Source organism: Homo sapiens, chromosome 1 (assembly GCF_000001405.40).
Source record: "Homo sapiens chromosome 1, GRCh38.p14 Primary Assembly".
Lineage (NCBI taxonomy): Eukaryota > Metazoa > Chordata > Mammalia > Primates > Hominidae > Homo > Homo sapiens.
In genome coordinates, this window is record NC_000001.11 from 201,921,646 (window position 1) to 201,942,745 (window position 21,100).

Below are 21,100 nucleotides of genomic sequence, written 5' to 3' on the forward strand. Positions count from 1 at the left end.
TTACAGAATAGGTCAAGAAAATCACCGCATTATGGCCGGATGCAGTGGCTCATGCCTATAATCCCAGCACTTTGGGAGGCTGAGGCGGGCGGATCACGAGGTCAGGAGATCGAGACCATCCTGGCTAACACAGTGAAACCCCATCTCTACTAAAAATACAAAAAATTAGCCAGGCGTGGTGGTGGGCGCCTGTAGTCCCAGCTGCTCGGGAGGCTGAGGCAGGAGAATGGCGTGAACCCGGGAGGCAGAGCTTGCAGTGAGCTGAGATCATGCCAGTGCACTCCAGCCTGGGCGACAGAGTGAGATTCCATCTCAAAAAAAAAAAGAAAAAGAAAATCACCACATTATTTAATGAAACAAAATCCATGCCCTTTGAGATTGGCAAAACCGTGATGAGATATACTTCACACCTATTGGGTGTCTATAATCAAAAAGACAGACAATAATAAGTGTGGACAAGGATGTGGAGAAATTGGACCCCTTGTATGTTGCTGGTAAGATATAAATAGTGCAACCACTTGGGAAAACAGTCTGGCAGTTCCTCAAAAAGTTAAACATAGAGTTGCCACATGACCCAGCAATTGCATGCCTCAATACAGACCCAAGAGAATTGAAAATATATGTCCACAAAAAGCTTCCACACAAATGTTCACAGCAGCATTACTCCTATTAGCCCCCAAATGGAAAGCACCCAAAGTCTATTAACTGAAGAATGACTCAGCAAAATGTCATACCTCATTAAAATGGTATAATATTCAGCCATTAAAAGGAATAAAGTACCATGCTCTATCATGGATGAACCTTGAAAACATAACTGAAAGAAGCCAGATCTGAAAGACCACATATTTTACGATTCCATGTACACAAAATGTCCAGAATAGGCAAATCTGTAGAGACAGAAAATGGATTAGCGGTTGCCAGTGGCTGGTGGGAGGAGAAATGAAGGGTCACTGATGATAGCTGTGGGGTTTCTTTTGGGACTGATGAAAATATTCTGGAATCAGGTAGTGGTGTTGTACAACTTTGTGAATATACTGAATATATATTCACACTGAATATACTGAATATAATATTGTTATATATAATATAATATATATAATACACTATTATATTCAGTATATTTGCCGAATATACTGAATACTGCTTTTTTTCTAAAAACACTGCATTGGGTATTTTAAAGGAGTGAATTTTTTTTTTGAGATGGAGTCTCACTCTGTCACCCAGGCTGGAGTGCAGTGGCACGATCTCGGCTCACTGCAACCTTCGCTTCCTGGGTTCAAGTAATTCTCCTGCCTCAGCCTCACGAGTAGCTGGGATTACAGGTGCGCACCACCATGCCCGGCTAACGTTTGTATTTTTAGTAGAGATAGGGTTTCACCATGTTGGCCAGGCTGGTGTCAAACTCTTGACCTCAGGTGATCCACCCGTCTCGGCCTCCCAAAGTGCTGGGATTACAGGCGTGAGCCACTGCGCCAGGCCAGGAGTGACTCTTGACAGCCCTTCCCCAGGGTCTCCCAGAGGGCAGCGCTGGAGCATGGCCAGTACCCATCTCAGAGTGCAGAGGGTTTCCAGAGTGCAGCACGGTGACAGGAAAGCTGCTGCTGAAAGGGCCACCAAGACTGAGCAACACCCATCCTGGAATTTGACACACAGTGGATGCTTCATAACTGCTGAACAAAGAGATGCATCTCCCATTCAGATGGAGGCCCAAAAAGAAGGCTGGAGGGACAGATTATTTTTTCTATTAAGTTATGCACAGTTTGTTGCAACTTGAGGTCAAAAGAAAGTGTTCAGAGCCAGCACAGTGGCTCAAGTCTGTAATCCCAGCTACTCAGGAGTCTGAGGCAGGAGGATCCCTTGAGACCAGGAGTTTGAGATCAGCCTGGACAACATAGTGAGACCCTGTCTATTGAAAAAAAAATTGTTTTTAATTGTAGCCGGGCACAGTGTCTCATGCCTGTAATCCCAGCACTTTGAGAGGCCAACGGGGGGCAGATTGCTTGAGTTCAGGAGTTCGAGACTAGCCTGGGCAACATGGCAAAACCCCATCTCTACTAAAAATACAAAACGTTAGCTGAATGTGGTGATGCACGCCTGTAGTCCCAGTTACTCAGGAGGCTGAAGTGGGAGAATCATATGAGGCCTAGAAGTCGAGGTCGCCTTGAGCTGTGATCGTGCCACTGTATTCTAGCCTGGGTGACCGGGAGTGTGATGCTGTCTCAACAAGAAAGAAGAAAAAGAGAGAGAGAGAGAGAGAGGGAGGGAGAGAGAGAGAGAGAGAGAGAGAAAGAAAGAAAAGGAAAGAAAGGAAAGAAAAAGAAAAAGGAAAGAAAAGAAAGAAAAAGAAAAGAAAGAAAGAGAAAAGAAAGAAAAAGAAAAGAAAGAGAGAGGCTGGGCACAGTGGCTCACGCCTGTAATCCCAGCACTTTGGGAGGCCGAGGCGGGCAGATCACGAGGTCAGGAGATCAAGACCATCCTGGCTAACACGGTGAAACCCCATCTCTAATAAAATACCAAAAAAAAAAAAAATTAGCCGGGAGCGGTGGCGGGCACCTATAGTCCCAGCTACTCAGCAGGCTGAGGCAGGAGAATGGCGTGAACCCGGGAGGCGGAGCTTGCAGTGAGCCGAGATAGCGCCACTGCACTCCAGCCTGGGTGACAGAGCAAGACTCTGTCTCAAAAAAAAAAAAAAAGAAAGCAAGGGAAGGAGGGAGGGAGAGAGGGAGGGAGGGAGGGAAGGAAGGAAGGAAGGAAGGAAGCAAGGAAGGAGGGAGGAAGGGAAGGAAGGAAGGAAGCAAGGAAGGAGGGAGGGAGGGAAGGAAGGAAGGAAGGAAGCAAGGAAGGAGGGAGGGAGGGAAGGAAGCAAGGAAGGAGGGAGGAAGGGAAGGAAGGAAGGAAGGAAGCAAGGAAGGAGGGAGGGAGGGAAGGAAGGAAGGAAGGAGGGAGGGAGGGAAGGAAGGAAGGAAAAGAAAGAAGAAAGAAAGGAAGAATAAAGAAAGAAAGAGAGAAAGAAAGAAAAAAAAGAAAGAAAGAAAGAAAGAAAGAAAGAAAGAAAGAAAGAAAGAAAGAAAGAAAGAAAGAAAGAAAAGAAAGAAATAGCCAGTCATAGTGGCATGTGCCTGCAGTCGTAGCTACTTGGGAGGCTGAGGCCGGAGGATGAAGCCAGGAGTTCAAGGCTGCAGTGAGTTATGACTGCACCATTGCACTCTAGTGTGTGTGACAGAGCAAGACCCTATCTCTGGAAAAAGAAAAAAGAGAGAGACAAAGAAAAGAGTTCAAGATATTCCGGCTGAGCGTGGTGGCTCATACCTGTAGTCCCAGCACTTTGGGAGGCTGAGGCGGGCAGATCATTTGAGGTCAGGAGTTCAAGGCCAGCCATGGCCGACATAGTGAAACGCTGTCTCTACTAAAAATGCAAAAATTAGCCAGCATGGTGGCGCCCACCTGTAAGCCCAGCTCATGAGGCTCAGGCAGGAGAATTGCTTGAACCCAGGAGGCAGAGGTTGCAGTGAGCTGAGATTGTGCCACTGTACTCCAGCCTGGGCTACAAGAGCAAAACTCCAGCTCAAAAAAAAAAGAAAAAAAAAAAGATCTTCCTTGGCCACCAGCTGGTGACCTCTCTAAGCCTCAGATTCTTCACCTGTCAAGTAGATTAAAATTTACCTCCCCTGTCTACCTTATAAGGCTGAAGCAAGGATCAAAAGAGATAACGTATGTGGAAGCCCATAAATCTTCAGACCCAAGGCATTAGGTTCTGCTTTTATTGCGCATGGATGAGCTGGGGCATATTGTGTGATGTTCTAAGACAGCAACTAAGTACTTACCTACAAGCTTCTGGGAGTAAGACACTTTCCATTTTTCTTGGAAGGGGAAAATTACTTTGCATGACCATTTGGTTATGGTTTGGTATTGGTGTGGAATGTTTTTAGGGTAGGGCCCTGTAGAAGCAGGAGGATGAACCAGTTGACCTTCTCTTCTTGACATCCACCCAAGACCTGAAATTTTTCAAGGCTGGAGGCTTGTTTTTTTTTTTTTCAATCTCTTTCTCTTTTCTATTTTTAATTTTTTAAATTTTTTTGAGACAGGGTCTTCCTTTGTGCCCAGGCTGGAGTGCAGTGGTGTGATCATGGCTAACTGCAGCCTCAACCTCCCAGGCTCAAGTGATCCTCCCACCTCAGTTTCCCAAGTAGCTGGAACCACAGGCGTGCACCACCATTCCTGGCTAATTTTTAAATTCTTTTGGAGAGACTGGGGGGCGGGGTCTCCCTGTGTTGCCCAGGCTGGTCTCGAACTCCTGGGCTCAAGCAGGCCTCCCATCTCAGCCTCCCAAAGTGTTGGAATTACAAGTGTGAGCCACCACACCCAGCCAGTTTTCTTTTTAGGTAGTAACATTTTTTTCCTCCCCAAAGGAAGAAAAACCAGGCATATGTGCTCTATCTATACTGCATACAAACCGACACATTTCCCCACAGGGAGTCAAAGCGAGAGGGAGGTGGGGCTTTGCTCTGCTTGGCAGATGGTCCAATATTAGGAACTTGATCCTCTAAAAGAATAACATGTGTGGCCTTATGTTTCTCTGGGCTATGGAGTGTCTGTGCTGTGAGCTGACCATAAGTCTCTGCGTTTCCAGTGCCCAGTGAGTCTTTTTTCTCTTTTAGGGGCTTTGTTTCACCCATCAGCCCATAAGGCTCAGCTGGGGAAGCAGTGTGTTAACTGTTCTGTTTATCATCTTGTTTGGCTGACTCCATCTCTCTGGGGATGGGCGCCAAAGGCCAAGAGAAGGAGCCCGTGCTGAGGCTCTGGGGATCTGTTTAGGGCCTTGGAAAGTGTATTTATTGGGAGCCATGTAAATGTCCAAATATAGGCAAATGGTTCAACACAGCCATACAATAGACTATGATGACATCCACTGAAAACAATGTTTAGGAAGAATTTTAGTGACATGGGAAAAGCAATTATAATATGATAAGCAAAAATATAAATAAATAAGGTAGGGAACACAATTTATGTGAATATGTGGCTGTGCATTAAATGATCTCAACTACAAAAAGAAAAATACATACAGAATTATACACTCAGAAAAAACTGAAGCAGGGAGCCGTAGCTCACAACTGTAATCCCAGCACTTTGGGAGGCTGAGGAGGGAGGATTGCTTGAGTCCAGGAGTTTGAGACTAGCCTGGACATCATGGCAAATCCCTGTCTCTACAAAAAATACAAAAAAATTAGCTGGGAGTGGTGGCACGTGGGAGCAGTAAGCTGAGATTGCACCACTGCACCCCAGCCTGGGCAACAGAGCAAGACCTTGTCTCAAAAACAAACAAACAAGAAAATTGACAATGGCTGATATCTTTAGCTAAGACAAAGAATTATTGGCTATTTTCCTTTTTTTCCCACGTTTTGCATACTGTCTATGATGAGCCTTATTACATTATAAGCATACTTTTCTTCAAATAAAACAAATTTAGAAATATCATGTCTGTGTTCTTTGTATCACCCCCTTCTCCTGCTTTTAAGGCAAAGATTACAGAGACTGGAAGTAAAACCAAAAGCCTCCCAACCTGAAAGAACTTTGACCACTGGAACACTTGAGTCTTTAGTACTCTGGGATCATTATTAGATATTTTCTTGGTGATTTAAAAATTATTATACTTGGCTCACGCCTGTAATCCCGGCACTTTGGGAGGCCGAGGTGGGAGGATCACGAGGTCAGGAGATTGAGACCATCCTGGCCAACATGGTGTAACCCCATCTCTACTAAAAATACAAAAATTAGCCGGGTGTGGTGGCGTGTGCCTGTAATCCCAGCTACTCAGGAGGCTGAGGCAGGAGAATCGCTTGAACCCAGAAGGCAGAGGTTGCAGTGAGCCAAGATCACGCCACTGCACTCCAGCCTGGTGACAGGGCTAGACTCCATCTCAAAAAACAAACAAACAAAAAAAACAAAAAAAAAAAAAGAAGAATTTGTTATACTTTTCAGTGAAGTTGAGGACATGGGACAAGTGGGTTATCACTAAGTAGCAAGTGGAAGAGATGCTGCCATTGGGGTAGGTGAGATGATCCACCTTGAGGAAACTCAGTGTAAGCAAAATGGCGCAATGTCAGCCCTTGACAACTGGAATTTCAGAAGACAATTTAAGCCCTTACTGCCCTAAGGCATCCATTATATAGAGTTAATTTCTTCCCTATGAATTCAGAATGGGACCAGCTAGAATCTTTGGGAGTGCTGTGTTTGGAATGTGTCCTCCAAAGTTCATACATTGGAAACTCAATCCCCAGTGCAGTGATGTTGGGAGCTGGGGCCTAATGGAAAGGGTTTGGGTCATGGGGGCACTGCTCTCATGAATGGATTAATGCCATTATCATGGAAGTGGGTTTGTTATAAAAGGACAATTTCAACTTCCTGGCTCTCTTTGGCCCTCACTTGTCCTTCTGCCTACTGCCATGGATTGGATAATGCAGCAATAAGGTCCTCACCAGATACAGGCCCTTGATCTTGGACTTCCCAGCCTTCAAAACCATGAGCAAAATGTACTTCTCTTCATTATAAATCACACAGTCTGTAGTATTTTTTTATAGCAGCACAAAATGGACTAAGACGGGGGAATTGAGGATATAGTCTCTCAATTCATTTTTTCCAGCGCTTAATTCTCTTACAGAAGCCTGGCTGAGAAAAGCTGATCAGTTGCCTACAAGGACCTAATCCCAGCTCTGCTCCTCCTTTGCTCCAGCCTCACTACTTGGGCGTCAGAAAGGCAAGTCTGTGTCGACCCAGCTGCAGAATTGGTATATCCAGATAACTTCCAGGCCATCATAGCCACATACCCAAGCACTGGGCCTCCCAAAGGGGTGGGCTCTGTGAGTGCTGTGAAGAGGGCCACTCCCTCTCCTGCTCTTGTGTGTGTGATCCAAAGGGAAATCTGCTTATAGCAAGTTCTCTAGGAGAGCTGTATTACTTTTCCTAGATCTAGAGGCAATGCTGCTGAACTTCTCCAGATATTTTATGGAAGAATCCAGATGATGGGAGCTAAAGGCCTTATCTGGGTGCATATAGAGCAAATTATCAGCAAAAATATTATTACTATTATTGAGACAGAGTCTCCCTCTGTTGCCCAGGCTGGAGTACAGTGGCGTGATCTCGGCTCACTGCTACCTCTGCCTCCCGGGTTCAAACAATTCTCATGCCTCAGCCTCCTGAATAGCTGGGATTACAGGTGTGTGCCACTATGCCTGGCTAACTTTTTTGTGTTTTTAGTAGAGACGGGGTTTTGCCATGTTGTCCAAGCTTGTCTTGAACTCCTGACCTCAAGTGATCCGCCCACCTTGGCCTCCCAAAGTGCTGGGATTGCAGGCATGAGCCACCACACCCGGCCTGCAAAAATATAATTAATATTTTCTTTAGGGTCTATCTGTGGCCCCAGGGATCATAGGTGGACTTTATTTATTTGTTTATTTATTTATTTATTTATTTATTTAGAGACGGAGTCTGGCTCTGTTGCCCATGCTGGAGTGCAGTGGCGTGATCTTGGCTCACTGCAACCTCTGCCTCCTGGGTTCAAGTGATTCTCCTGCCTCAGCCTCCCAAGTAACTGGGATTACAGGCGTCCACCACCACGCCCAGCTAATTTTTGTATTTTTAGTAGATCAGGCTGGTCTCAAACTTCTGACTGCAGGTGATTCACCTGACTCGGCATACCAAAGTGCTGGGATTACAGGCATGAGCCACCACGCCTGGCAAGTGGAATTAATATGTTAGTCTGTAATCTCAGGTTACTACAGAGCTGGAAGACAGAATTGCAAGGAAATGAAGAAAAAGTGGAACAAGTTTAAACTGAAGGGGAAATATGGCAGTGATCTATCCCAACAATTCAGACCTCAGAGTGTAAATTTTAGACTGATTTAATTGGTTATTTTTAAAAAGAGGATAAAAAAGGATCACTGCCAAATCTTTCTTCATTTGAGAAGTTGGATACAAAATCATATTTTCAAATAGTCTCAGAAGGGTATAGATGAATTACAAATTTTGTAGATTCAATCAAGTATGATAGAACTGCCTTTGTAAATTCCTCATCCTTCATTCATTCAACAGGCATCCATTAAGCCAGGGACTGTGTTCACTGCTGGGGACATGAAGATGAATAAGAGTCAGCCCTCACCCTTAAGAAGTTTGGGAAAAGCACAGAAACAGACAATGCTGAAATGATGTGTTACATGCGAATGGAACAGGAGGTGCCAGAACTTGCAGGAGGTGCTTTGTGAACACAGAGGTGGAGCACACAACTTAGGCTGGGGGGGTCCGGAAAGCCTCTAGAGAAAGTGTCACCTGAGTTGAGCCTTGAAAGAGGAATGAGGGTTGGCTAGGCTTGGCATCCCAGTTGGAGGCGACAATATGTTCAAAGGCACAGAGGAAGCAAGATAAAGCCTGGCGCTCTGGAGAACCAATGGTCAAGTACAACTGTAGGGTGAGAGTCAAGGAGAAGAGTATTCGTAGCTTGAGAAATAGGAAGGCACTGGAACATCAGCAGCTTTCTAAGCCATGCTAAGAAGTGTGAATTTGATCACGGAAGCTACACTGAGTAATTGAAGGCTTTTACACAGGGAAGGTCAACTGTGGGGAGGATGGATTCCAATGGCACGAGAAGAGAGGTTGGGAGATCAGTTAGGAGGCTGTGACGTTCTTCTAGTTGATAAGTGATATGCATGGGAGTAATAGAAGTTGAATTGCGAGGAGGGGCAGAGTTCAGAGAGATCATAGAGGCAGAAACAACAGGATCCTATCACTAGGAAAGTCTGGAGACACTGGGAGAGGGATTGGAGCAGGACAGCCCAGGGTTATGATGTAGGTGTCTGATTAAATGGTACTTCTATTCATCAAAGTGCAGAACACAGGAGGAAAAACAGGTTTAGGGGTGGGGTGGGGTGACGATGATTAATTTATTTGCAGACCAGTTGAATTTGAGACACTTGAGGTGTCCAAGAGACAACTGAATGATCTAGAACTCAAAATAGAGATCTAGGCCAGAGATAGAAAGAGAGCATACGGGGATAACTGAATCCATGGGGTTGGATGAAGGTAGCCATGAAGACTGCATAGGAAGGGCAGAGCCCTAAACAATCATATTTAGGCAATAGAGTATGAGCTGCTCACAGAGGAGATTAAGAAGGAACAGCTAGAGAGATGAAAGGAAAACAAGGAGAATGTGCTGTATTGGCACCGAGGGAAATGAGTGTTTAAAAGAATGACAGAGTGGTTAAATTCCACAAAGTAAACAAATAGAATAAAGACTAAAAGGTGTGTTCAGATAAAGCAACAAGGAGGTCCCCAGTTACCTCATCAAGGCTGATGTCTGTGCAGTGCGGGGGCAGAGACGTCCAGGGTGATAGTGAGCATGGATGCCATTTCCTACAGCTTAGCTAAGACGGAAAGGAGAGAATGTGGGAATTGGGGAGAAAGAGCCAGTAAAAGGGAATGTTGAAGAGAGAGAGAGATGTTTAAAGGAGCAAAGGTCGTGTGGAGGCAGGAGAGAAAAGATTCTAAAAAGTGGGTTTGGGTAATAGTCTGGGACAGAAGAGGGATATCCTTTCCATGGGATAAAAGAGAAACGGAAGGCCGGGTTCGGTGGCTCACGCCTGTAATTCCAACACTTCGGGAGGCCAAGACAGATGGATCACTTGAGGGCAAGAGTTCGAGACCGGCCTGGCCAACATGGCGAAACCTCGTCTCTACTAAAAATACAAAAATTAGCTGGGCGTGGCGGTGCGTGCCTGTAATCCCAGCTACTCAGGAGGCTGAGGCATGAGAATCGCTTGACCCCAGGAAGCAGAGGAGGTTGCAGTGAGCTGAGATGGTGCCACTGCACTCCAGCCTGGGCGACATAATGAGACTCTGTCAAAAAAAAAAAAAAAAAAAGGGAGAGAAAGCTTGCATATAAAAAGGGAGAGAAAGGCGAAAACTTGCATACATGGATGCTTACAAGTTTTCAGGTGACAGAAGAGAAATTTGAAGACATTTTCATCTGATGGCTTCAAGTGTCTCCACGAAATATGAGGCTAGATCATCTGTTGAGGGTGAAAAGAGAGATGGGACAAGAGAGTTTGTAAAGAAAGGCTGGCTGGGCACGGTGGGACATGCCTGTAATCCCAGCACTTTGGGAGGCTGAGGTGGGATGATCACTTGAGCTCAGGAGGCAAGGTTGCAGTGAGCCATAATCATGCCACTGCACTCCAACCTGGGTGACAGGGCCAGACCCTGTATCAAAAAAAAACAAACTAATTTTTAGAATAGTGTCCCAGAGGAGTGAGAAGAAGGAGTGTAGATGTTTTCTGGGCAGCTTTGAGGGCTTGGCTGAGGTTATAGGGTTTTAATCCACAGAGGCACCAATATAGTGCTATCTGAGGCTGCTGGGTATGTTCAGTAGCTTGGATGCACAATAGAATTGCTAAATGGTTACTTTCATTCAGGCTAGGGGTGATGGAAGGTTGGGGAGGACTGAGCATGAGAATTGAGGATAATGTTCACAATAACCATAGTAACATATAAGTTAAAGAGGAAAATTACAAGTAAAGCCTGAAAATTGAGTGGAAGAGAAGTCAGTCCATACTGAGAGTAGGTAAGGCTAGGAATGAGAAGAGGCCATGAAATGGGATATGCCTCTAAGTCATCATCTTTGGAACAGATGAATCCTGAGGTAGAGGAATCTGACCTGGGCTTTAGTGAAGTGTCCAAATCTCGATAGAGAGGGTCAGGAGGACAGGAGGCAGAACACGCTGAAAAGGTTATACAGCATCTAGTTGCTCTCAAAGATGTACTCCATTAGAAACGATGGGCCGGGAGTGGTGGTTCAGGCCTGTAATCCCAGCACTTTGGGAGGTTGAGGCTGGTGGATCGCTTGAGCCTAGGAGTTCAAGACCAGCCTGGGCAACATGGCAAAACCCTGTCTCTACTCAAAATAAAAAAATTAGCCAGGTATGGTGGTGCACACCTGTAGTCAGGAGGCTGAGGTGGAAGGATCACTTGAGCCCAGGAGGCAGAGGTTGCAGTGAGCCAAGATTGCACCACTGCACCCTGGCCTGGGCGACAAAGACCTTGTCTCAAAAAGAAAAAACAAAAAGAAAGAAATGATGTTAATGACTATCACTTAACTTAGTGCCTACTGTTTGCAAAGCACTATGTTAAACCTTCAAATTTTTGTATCTTTTCCTCATGGAGACCTTCAAATTAGGTGGTATCATCCTTATTGACAGAAGAAGAAATTAAAGTTCACTATGCATTCTCTACGACGCAGAAATTCCATTCTTAGGTACATACCCAACAGAAATGAAGTCAGAAGTGCACTAAAAATGTCCGAAAATGTTCATAACAGCATTGTTTGTAATAGTCCCAGACTGGAAACAACCCAAATGTCCATTAACAGTGAAATGAATAAATAAACTGTGGTATATTCACATAGTAAAATGCTGCATAGCAATGAAGGTTTAAAAATGCTACAGATGGTGTGGTGGCTCACGCTTGTAATCCCAGCACTTTGGGAGGCTGAGGCGAGTGGAACACCTGAAGTCAGGAGTTCAGGACCAGCCTGGCCAACGTGGTGAAACCCCATCTCTACTAAAAATACAAAAATTAGCCAGGCTTGGTGGTGGACGCCTGTAATCACAGCTACTTTGGAGGCTGAGGCAGGAGAATCGCGTGAACCCGGAAGGTGGAGGTTGCAGTGAGCCAAGATCTCGTCATTGCACTCCAGCCTGGGCAACAGGAGCAAAACTCTGTCTCAAAAAAAAAAAAATGCTATAGACAACAACATGGTTGCATGTCACAAACATAAAGTTGAGTGAAAGAAGCCAGATACAAAAAATACACACTCCATGAGCCTTTCTCTCTCTCTCTCTCTATATATATAATACATATATATATAATACATATATATATTATATATGTACACATATACATACATTATATATATATATATATATATATATATATGGCAAGACTAACCTAGGGGATTAGAAATCAGGATAGGGGCTATCTTTGGAGAGGAAGCTTGGGCAGGGACAATGCTGTGGTGCTGACAACATTCAGTTTCTTGTTCATTTTGTGATAATTCATGAAACTCCACACTTTTGTGCACATTTCTGTAAATATTTTATATTCCAATAAAAATGTTATAAAAACATTATTGTCAAGTAAAAATGAAATATGGACAAGGCAATAAAGAATAAAAATAAAATAGAGTGAAGCTTAGAAATATTAAATGCTTGTCTGAGACCACCCAGCTGATAAATAGCCAAGTTGGGAATTAGCCCCAGGTCCCCCTGGTTTGGCTTGCAAGTCCAGTGCTTGTCCCACCACGCCAGCTGTCAGTCATATGCTGGGAAGGGACCAGTGTGCTCCCTCCTTCTCCTTGGGCATGGGTGACTTAAGGGACAGAAGATCGATGCACTGGAGGTGAAAATCTACTGGATTTTCAAGCAGCTCTGGCAGCTGGCTGTTGTCTGTTGACTGTTCTCATGCCAGATTTCATGTCCGGAAGTACTTTCATGTTTTCTCTGCCCTCATCCGGGGAGCACTGAGCATTTTTCTTGTGACCTGAGGCTTAACCTCTGACTATTGTCATAGCCTCCTTGGTTTCTCCTCCCTTCAGACCAGCCTATGGCTGCCAGTGCTGTCCTTCCAGAGCAGCACATTGCACGTATGAGGCAAACCTCAACCTCCCATCACCACACTTATCAACCTGGCTGTATCTTGGCCCATCTCTGCTGCCTTCTCTCCTAAGTGATTACCTGCTGCTGAGATGTGACCCCTCGACTGCATTCTATCCCTTTTTGCCCCCTTCACTGGTGTTATCAGTCTCCCTGTCTACTGAATTATCCCCATCAGCCATGCTATAATATTCCTTGTCTTTCAAAAATATCCTCCCTGATTCCACATTTATCTCCAGCTGCCACCCTACTATTCTGCTTCCCATTAGAACAAAACTGAGGAAAAACGAGACTTATCTAGATGCTCCATCTCCAATCCTTATCCATATTCTCTCTTTTGAGTCCACTATTCACCACAGTGAAATCATTCTTGCCAAGGTTCCAATGGCTTCCATCTTACCAATTACTGTGATTGATTCTCTGTCTCACCTTATTAAACCTCTCAGCAAGAATGGATGTGGTACAGTACTCTCTCCTTCTGGAAATCCTTTCTCACCTGATTTGGTGAAACCACTCTGAATTTCCTCTACCTCTCAGTCTCTTCATTGGCTCCTTCTCCTCTGCCAACACCTAAATGTAGGTATAATGAAGGGCTGGGGCCTCAGCCCTCTGCTCTCCTCCATTCACATTTATTCCCTAAGTGATCTCTTCTAGGCTCATGGCTTTCAGTAGCATCCACAGACTGATGAATCCCAAATTTAATCTCCCATCCCCTCTTCCCACTGAGCCCCAGACTTTGAGTAGGGGAGAGATGTGATCTAATTTATGCCTTTAAAAGGCTCATTCTTCCAGCTTTCAGATAAACAGACTGTAGGAGGGCAAGAGTGCAGAAATGAGACCAGTTAGAAGGGTGTTTCTGTCTCTCAGGTGAGAGCTCAAAGATGGTTTGATGAGAAATGGAAACTGGCTGACGCATTGGGGGAAAGGGAAGAGTCGGGGTGATCCGTACTGCCTAAGCTATTTGGTGAATTTGATGTCCTTTTTTTTTTTTTTTTGAGACAAGATCTGGAGTGCAACCCCTGTCAACCCAACATTTCCCCTTGGGGGTCTACTAAGCACAACAAACTTAACTTGTTCAAATCAGAATTCTTCACCTCCCAAAACCACTCCTTCTCTGCTGTTTCCCATGGCAGTAAAGGACATCAAATTTGGCCGGTCATGGTAGTTCACACCTGTACACCTGTAATCCCAGCACTTTAGTTTTATTTATTTATTTATTCATTTATTTATTTATTTTTGACAGTCTCACTCTGTCACCCAGGCTGGAGTGCAGTGGCATGATCTTGGCTCACTGCAACCTCCACCTCCTGGGTTCAAGCGATTCTCCTGCCTCAGCCTCCCGAGTACCTGGGATTACAGGTGCCCACCACCACGCCCAGCTAATTTTTGTATTTTTAGTAGAGACAGGGTTTCACCATGTTGGCCAGGCTGGTCTTGAACTCCTGATCTCAAGTGATCTGCCCGCCTCAGCTTCCCAAAGTGCTGGGATTACAGGCATGAGCCACCACACCTGGCCAATCCCAGGACTTTGGGAGGCCGAGGTGGGCAGATTGCCTGAGGTCATGAGTTCGAGACCATCCTGGCCAACATGGTGAAACCCCTGTCTCTACTGAAAATACAAAAAATTAGCCGGGCGTGGTGGCAGGCGCCTGTAATCCTGGCTACTCAGGAGGCTGAGGCAGGAGAATCACTTGAACCCAGGAGGCGGAGGTTGCAGTGAGCCGAGATCACACCATTGCACTCCAGACCTTGTCTCAAAAAAAAAAAAAAAAAAAAAAAAGACATCAAATTCACCCAATAGCTTAGGCAGTACTGATCACCCCGACTCTTCTCTTTCCCCCAGTGCATCAGCCAGTTTCCATTTCTCATCAAACCATCTTTGAGCTCTCACCTGAGAGACAGAAACACCCTTCTAACTGGTCTCATTTCTGCACTCTTGCCCCCCTACAGTCTGTTTATCTGAAAGCTGGAAGAATGAGCCTTTTAAAGGCATAAATTAGATCACATCTCTCCCCTACTCAAAACACTCCAATGACTTAGAATAAAAAGTCATGGCACTTAGAATAAAAAGTCAAACTCTGCTGCCCTAAAAGTCCCCACATGATCGGAACCCTGCTTACTTCCAAGGCCTCGTCTCCTCCAGGCTCCTTCCCCACTCCTCCTGCTCTAGTTTTGGGGCCTGGCTTTTCCTCTGACATGCTAACCCTGCCCCCACCCCAGGGCCTGTGTCTTTGATGTTCCCTCTGCTTGGAAAGCTTTTCCCCACATCTTCCCAAGGCTAGCTCCTTCGGTCCATTTAGAATCTGCTCAAATGGGCCAGTTGTGGTGGCTCACACCTGTAATCCCAACACTTTGGGAGACCGAGGCTGGTGGATCACTCAAAGTCAGGAGTTCGAGACCAGCCTGGCCAACATGGTGAAACCCCCTCCCTGCTGAAAAATACAAAAAAATTAGCTGGGTGTGGTGGCAGACACCTGTAATCCCACCTACTCGGGAGGCTGAGGCAGGAGAATTGCTTGAATCTGGGAGGCAGAGGTTGCAGTGAGCCAAGATTGCGCCACTGCATTCCAGACTGGGCAACAGAGTGAGACTCTGTCTCAAAAAAAAAGAATCTGCTCAAATGTCACCTCTTTTGGTAGTGAAGACCCTGACTACTTTGTTGGAAGTGGTCTCCCATTGATATGTCATATACTCTTCCCTTAACTGACATTACTCTTTTTTAGAAGATATATGTCATATGTTACATGTTATGTGTATGCATGCTACATATGATCTGCATATGGAAATATATATATTGTCTGTCTCACCCATTAAAATGTAACCTTGGCCAGGTGTGGTGGCTCATGCCCGTATCCCAGCACTTGGGAGGCCAAGGCAGGAGGCTCACTTGAGCCCAGGAGTTCAAGACCAGCCTTGGCAACATAGGGAGACCCCAGTATCTACAAATAATTTAAAAATTATCTGGGCGCGGTGGGACACACCTGTAGTCCTAACTACTTGGGAGGCTGAGGCAGGAGGATCCCTTGAGCTCAGGAGTTTGAAGCTGCAATGAACTGAGATTGCACTACTCTACTCCAGCCTGGGCAACAGAGTAAGATCCTGTCTCAAACAAACAAACAAAAAAAAACAAAAACAAAAAAACAAAAAACACAGTGGCTCATGCCCGTAATCTCAGCACTTTGGGAGATTGAGGTGGGCAGATCATTTGAGCCCAGGAGTTCGACACCAGCCTGGGCAACATGGTGAAACCCCATCTCTACTAAAAATACAAAAAAATTAGCTGGGCATGGTGGTGCACAACTGTAGTCCCAGCTACTCTGGGGGCTGAGGCGGGAGGATTGCTTGAGCCCATGAGATGGAAGTTGCAGTGAGCCAAGATCATGCTACTGCACTCCATCCTGGGGAACAGAGTGAGATCCTGTCTCAAAAACAAACAAACAAACATAGACTGTAACCTCTATGAGGGCAAGAACCTTGTCTCTCTTGTTCACTACTCTATCCTGGCATTTAGAAAGTACATAATAGGAACTCATTAAAGAGCTGGCAAATTAATGATTTAATGGAGTCCTCCTCCCTCCTTGTAAACATAAAGCATGATTCATGAATTCTGTGTATAAAACGAATGAAGAGAATGGGAATGGGAGGAGCGGATAGGAGTGAAGGGAAGGGAGGAAACTAATGTTCATGGGCCTTTACTACTAGGTTTCCAACCCAGCACTCTGCTTAGTGCTTTATGTGGATTATTTTGCTGAAACCTCATAACTATCCTATGACTAAGCATTGTAATTTCCTTTTTTTTTTTTTTTGAGATGGAGTTTCGCTCTTGTTGCCGAGGCTGGAGTGCAATGGCACCATCTCAGCTCACCACAACCTCTGCCTCCTGGGTTCAGGCAATTCTCCTGCCTCAGCCTCCCGAGTAGCTGGGATTACAGGCACGTGCCACCACGCCCGGCTAATTTTGTATTTTTAGTAGAGACGGGGTTTCTCTATGGTAGTCAGGCTGGTCTCAAACTCCCCACCTCAGGTGATCTGCCCGCCTCGGCCTCCCAAAGTGCTGGGATTACAGGCATGAGACACCGCGCCCGGCCGTAATTTCCATTTTATAGGTGAGGAAACTCAGGCTCCAAGACGTGAAGTCACTTGTTTGGGTCATTCAGCCAGCAACCAGCAGAGCTGGATCTGCACCCAGGTCTAGCTGGCCCCTGAGGAGACTATTCTAACCACTAGACTCATATAGTCTGCACTCAGAGCTTCCCTGGGAATTTCTGCCTGAGGATGTAGCACCTTTCACCTGCCAGTCTCAGGGACAGGGGTCCTGCCAGCCCTGCCGGCTTGATCTCAAAGGAAGGCCTATTGAAGTAACAATCAGAAGGAGCCTGTGGGCTGTCCATGAAAGGGTGGTGGAAGGGTGTGGGAACAGGAGGTGCTTCTATTCCTAGCTGTTTGTAAACAGCATCCCGACAACCCGGCTTGTTCTTTCTGCAGTGGGCCCCAGGGACAGCTGAAGCCAAGTTCTCCCAAAGCAGCCTTGGCTTTTCTGAGCTTGTGCTGGGGTGGAAGCCTGCAGACAAGGAGAATCCACCTCAAAATCTTCTCCTAATCTCCTTTCACTCTGTCTTTTTCCAACCCAGCAACTCAGTTTGGGCCCCTGAGCCTGTGACATAAAATAAATTAGGCAGAGGCTCAAAGAAATCAGGCTGCTGGGGCCAGGCAGCGAGTAATTACATAAGCCCTGCCTCCCTGCTTTCCTTCCTCCCCTTCCCCTCTCTCTTCATCATTCCTTCACACTCACTGATGGTTTTTTTTTTTTTTAATTTCGTGAGAGATAAAATAATGTTGATTTGGCAGATATACAGGTACAAACTCTGAAGAGTTTAGAGTGAGGAAAGAAGGTCTCTCGTGATGTGCCAAACACTTTCAATGCCTCATCCTATTTAATCTTCACTATAACCCTTCAAGGATGATTTTATCATCCCCACTTGACAGGTGAAGTAATTGGGCCTCAAGAAGCTATGTTAATGAGATAGCATCGATAAAGCCTTTGGCTCCAGAAGGCACTCAATCAAGTTAATGTTCTTTCTTCCTTGGGTAACTTATTCCAAGTCACTGGATCAGTAAGGGGCAGGAGCAGAATTCAAACCTGGACCTATCTGATTCCAGACACCCCTGGGCTTTCTGTCTCACCGCACTGCCCAGACACTAACAAGCCATTGGGAGAACTGATGAACCGAATGGAGACCACTGCTCTTTTGCTGGTTAAACAAAAGTGGTCCAATAAATAAGGAAGGGCCTGATCTGGAAAGGCCTGCATTCTATGGCTCAGGATATTCCTGTTTATCCAACTTGGCAGGCATGTAAATATTAGCGTCGCCACTCCTGTCCCCCATGCATGGCGCTGTGTGTTGTTCCTCTGCTCCTGCTGTGTGTGTGTGTGTGTGTGTGTGTGTATACACATGTGTGTAGACTGCCTATCTCTTGGTGTGCTTCATTCAGGCTCTGCACACTCTGGGCCCAGCTGTAGATATGCTGACACGGTCTGACAAAGATACTCTAAAGTCTCCTGGGGGAGAGAAAGAGAGACTGAAGGAGGATAGACAGATAAGACCGGGGCTTTGTCCTCACCTTCTTGTCCCAGCCTGGGGACCATGAAGCTCCCAGAATCCCTGAAGCCTCCAGCCTTCTCTGATGCTGGGAGCAACCTCCCCTTGGTTAGTGGGACTCAGACCCCACCTCTTAACCATCTATATCCCGCTCTCACTGGTGAGCCATCTTATTTTACAAGTGCTCCTTGGTCCTGTCCATCTGTCCTGCCTCCCTCTTGCATTTTCCATCCAGCCAAGCTCTTTTTTTTTTTTTTTTTTTTTTGAGATGGAGTCTTGCTCTGTTGCCAGGCTGGAGTACAGCGGCACGATCTCGGCTCACTGCAACCTCCATCTCCTGGGTTCAAGGGATTCTCCTGCCTCAGCCTCCCGAGCAGCTGGGACTACAGGCATGCGCCACCACACCCAGTTAATTTTTGTATTTTTAGTAGAGATGGGGTTTTACCATGTTGGCCAGGCTGGTCTCGATCTCTTGATCTCGTGATCCACCCGCCTCGGCCTCCCCAAGCACTGGGATTACAGGCATGAACCACGGCACCCGGCCTAACCAAGCTCTTATACCTACTGTCCCAGTAAGGAGAAGGCAGGCACCCAGAGGGCAGCACTGAGGGTGGGAGCAGGCACTAATGCCTCACTTGCTCAAAGTCTTTTTTTTTTTTTTTTGAGATGGAGTCTTGCTCTGTCAGCCAGGCTGGAGAGCAGTGGCTCGATCTCAGCTCACTGCAACCTCCGCCTCCCGGGTCAAGTGATTCTCCTGCCTCAGCCTCCCAAGTAGCTGGACTACAGGCATGCACCACCACGCCCAGCATTTTTTTTTTTTTTTTTGAGACGGAATTCTGCTCTTGTTGCCCAGGCTGGAGTGCAATGGCACGATCTCGGCGCACCGTAACCTCCGCCTCCCGGGTTCAAGCAATCCTCCTGCCTCAGCCTCCCTAGTAGCTGGGATTACAGACATGTGCCGCTATGCCTGGCTAATTTTGTATTTTAATAGAGAAGGGGTTTCTCCATGTTGGTCAGGCTGGTCTTGAACTCCCAGCCTCAGGTGATCCACCCGCCTTGGCCTCCCAAAGTGCTGGGATTACAGGTGTGAGCCACCGTGCCTGGCCATTTTTTTTTTTGTATTATTAGTAGAGATGGGGTTTCCCCATGTTGGCCAGGCTGGTAAAATTCTTTTTTTTTAATTTAATTTTTAATTTTTTAGAGATGGGGTCTTGCTATGTTGCCCAGGCTAGTCTCGAGCTCCTGAACTCAAGTGATCCTCCTGTCTCAGCCTCCCAAAGTGCTGAGATTACAGGTATTAGCCATCACACCTGCCCTCAAAATTCTTTAAATATTATATACATACAGAAGAAAACGTATAATAACAATATTTAAAACAAACACCTGTGGATTGTACCACCTAGTTTAAGAAACAAGCAGTTGCTTTTTCAAACTCTGGATGGAGGCAGTTTCAAATTTCAGGGCGAGATTTTAACAGTCTAACCCTCTCCGGTGCCTGCTTTTGCCTCCCTGGGTCAACAGGCCCCCGTCACCTCTTCTGCCCTCTTCACCCTAGCCTCCAGGGCTATTTTGGGTGTGTACCAGTTGGGGTTAATCTCCTTAAGCATTGAGCCGTGCTGCTCAGTGCACTCCTGATAGGTCCCAACCCTCTGCAAAGGGCATTCTGAGGGTTAGGCCGCCGGCCTCGGGCCTTCCCGGCCCCGTAGAGATACCATGGACACTGAGCTGTGAACTAGAACCGATGGGGGAGGGGGCTGCTGAGGCTGTGCAGGCAGTGGGAGTGGAAGGTCAGGAGGGCTCAGGCCCAGCAGCCGCTATTAGTAGGTTGCTTCGGGTTTGCTTCTCGAGTTTACCTCTAGGGAGAGCTTTCCTCCACCCCCACCAGCTCAGCTGCCCTGACCCTGGCTGGGTACAGGCGCTAATCCCCAGCCCCTGCTAACACCAGGGAGAAGGGAGGGGGAGGCAGGCTGGAGATTTTCTTTCCCACTTGGGAAGGAAAGAGGACACACAAGTTGACCGGTTGGGATCCGGTTCCTGAAACCTGAGACAAGGACAAGAGTTTCACTGAACCGTTGGCTACAGCTTGCCCAGGGGCTTTGTCTTCTACCTGGGCTGAAGGAGAGTTCCCGGATGATTAGGGCGGAGCTACACTGGCTGACAGGTCTGGCCCTTTAAAGGGAGGGAGAGAAGCTGGGGTCAATTCTTCCAAGTCCCACCTCTACCCTCCCCAATCCCCTGCTAACATTCACTCAACAAACAGAGGCTGAAGGCCTGCTGTGTGCTGGGCCCTGCATTTGCATTTTGCCCTCCAAGTCCCACAAGCTGGTGAGTGAGACAGCCCAAGAAAACAGATGATTATACAAAAGTCATGTCCCAAGGGCTTTGGTACAGACTGGTATTGGAGCGCTCAGACAAGGTGCCTGACCTTGAGGGAGTCCTGGAAGACTACCTGGAGGAAGTGGTACCTGAGACAGGCAGAACAAATAGGAGTTGACCTGGAAGAGGCAAGGGTGGAATATTCATGAAAAAGATGGTAAACAATCAGGAGGATCTCTGGAATATCCCATCCCTTGGAGGGAGACCCTGGAGGGAGAAGCAGGCCAAGGGCCCTCTGGCAGCCTAGACTCACTTTGCACAATAGCCAGAGTATGCATCTTGGGGCTGTCCTTCTGGGGAAAAGACAGACCTTAAGACTGTCTTAAGGCCAACCTCCCAATGTTGGTTTCTTTCTTTCTTTTTTTTTTTTAAATTTTATTATGAAAATTTTCGAACATACATACAAAAGTAGAAAAAATAATATAATGA

At 46.3% G+C, this 21,100-nt stretch overlaps 1 protein-coding gene across 1 annotated transcript in view, besides 1 other annotated feature; it reads right to left on the bottom strand.

Annotated features, from left to right (window-relative positions):
* Positions 1-21,100, bottom strand: part of LMOD1 (leiomodin 1) — a 50,093-nt gene that overhangs the window by 25,190 nt on the left and 3,803 nt on the right. The gene's annotated exons all lie outside the window — the stretch shown is intronic.
* Positions 19,806-20,755: an enhancer, noted in NCBI's record as "H3K27ac-H3K4me1 hESC enhancer chr1:201910579-201911528 (GRCh37/hg19 assembly coordinates)". NCBI's record gives its function as "activates a minimal SCP1, AML or CMV promoter by ChIP-STARR-seq in naive H9 embryonic stem cells {active_cell/tissue: H9 hESC(naive)}" and the evidence as "EXISTENCE:reporter gene assay evidence [ECO:0000049][PMID:30033119]".